This window comes from Homo sapiens, chromosome 12 (assembly GCF_000001405.40).
Source record: "Homo sapiens chromosome 12, GRCh38.p14 Primary Assembly".
NCBI lineage: Eukaryota > Metazoa > Chordata > Mammalia > Primates > Hominidae > Homo > Homo sapiens.
Genome location: NC_000012.12, coordinates 27,950,442 through 27,951,620, shown reverse-complemented (window position 1 = coordinate 27,951,620; position 1,179 = coordinate 27,950,442).

The following is a 1,179-nucleotide window of genomic DNA, read 5'->3' as shown; positions in this document are numbered from 1 at the left end:
CATCTGCCCCAAGCAATGAAGGCTACCCTGTGAACCTAAAGGCAGATTAAGTTATATTGCTCCCATGGAGAACTACTATGCTGCTTGTCTAACTCTCTCCTGATATCACATGTGCTGTGGTGTCACCATTAAAAGGCAATTCGGAGGAGAAGTAATTCAAAACAGTTCATGTTAAAGGATAGGCAGTCTTGATTCCACAGTTTGATTGTGAGGCCTGTAGTTCACATACAGCCTGGTCTTTCTGGACCTTGTACTGAAAATACAATTGCTGGCTGTGTGCAGTGGCTCACGCCTGTAATCCCAGCACTTTGAGAGGCTGAGGCCGATAGATCACTTGAGGTCAAAAGTTTGAGACCAGCCTGGCAAACATGCTGAAACCCCGCCTGTACCAAAAAATACAAAAAAAAAAAAAAAATCAGCTGGGCGTGGTAGTGCATGCTTGTAGTCCCAGCTACTCGGGAGGCTGAGGAAGGAGAATCACTTGAACTCGGGAGGCAGAGGTTGCAGTGAGCCAAGATCTCACCACTGCACTCCAGCCCTGCTGACAGTGAGACTCTGTCTCAAAAAAAAAAAAACAAAAAACAAAAAACAAAAAAAAAAAAGAAAAAGAAAAAAAAATTCCCACAATTGCTTATTTTATCTTTTCTTATTCCCTATACATTTTTAGCCGTTGTTTCTTATTGAGTTGATGTTTTTCCTTGAGAGTTGGCCCAGCAGCTGCTTACGGTCTAATAAGTATGTGTCTCATTGGTTGGGAGTAACTAGATGCCCTGAAAAACATCTTATTCGTTAGAATTGTAAGTTCCATTTGCTTGCATTCAACATAGACTGTAGTTTAATGCAAATCCCAGTTCCTATCATCTTTTGCTGTTTGCTGTTTTTTTACTGTAATTACAATGTAGTTTACTGTAGTTATAATAGCAACAATTCATCATGCTTGTTTAGTGTTACTATAGCCAGCCACCACAGAAATAGTATCTCTGTAGAACCAAAATTAACCTTGAGTAATTTATAATACAAATCCCCAAATCCAAGTTTCTAATGTTTTACATACATGCAATATATTTCGTAGCAATAAAATTACAGGGCTTTTCTGCTAGCTGAGAACTAAGAGCTGTAGAAATGGTTCAAGGCTATGTATGAGCAACATAAAGGTAGGGACACTTTTCTATTGCTCCA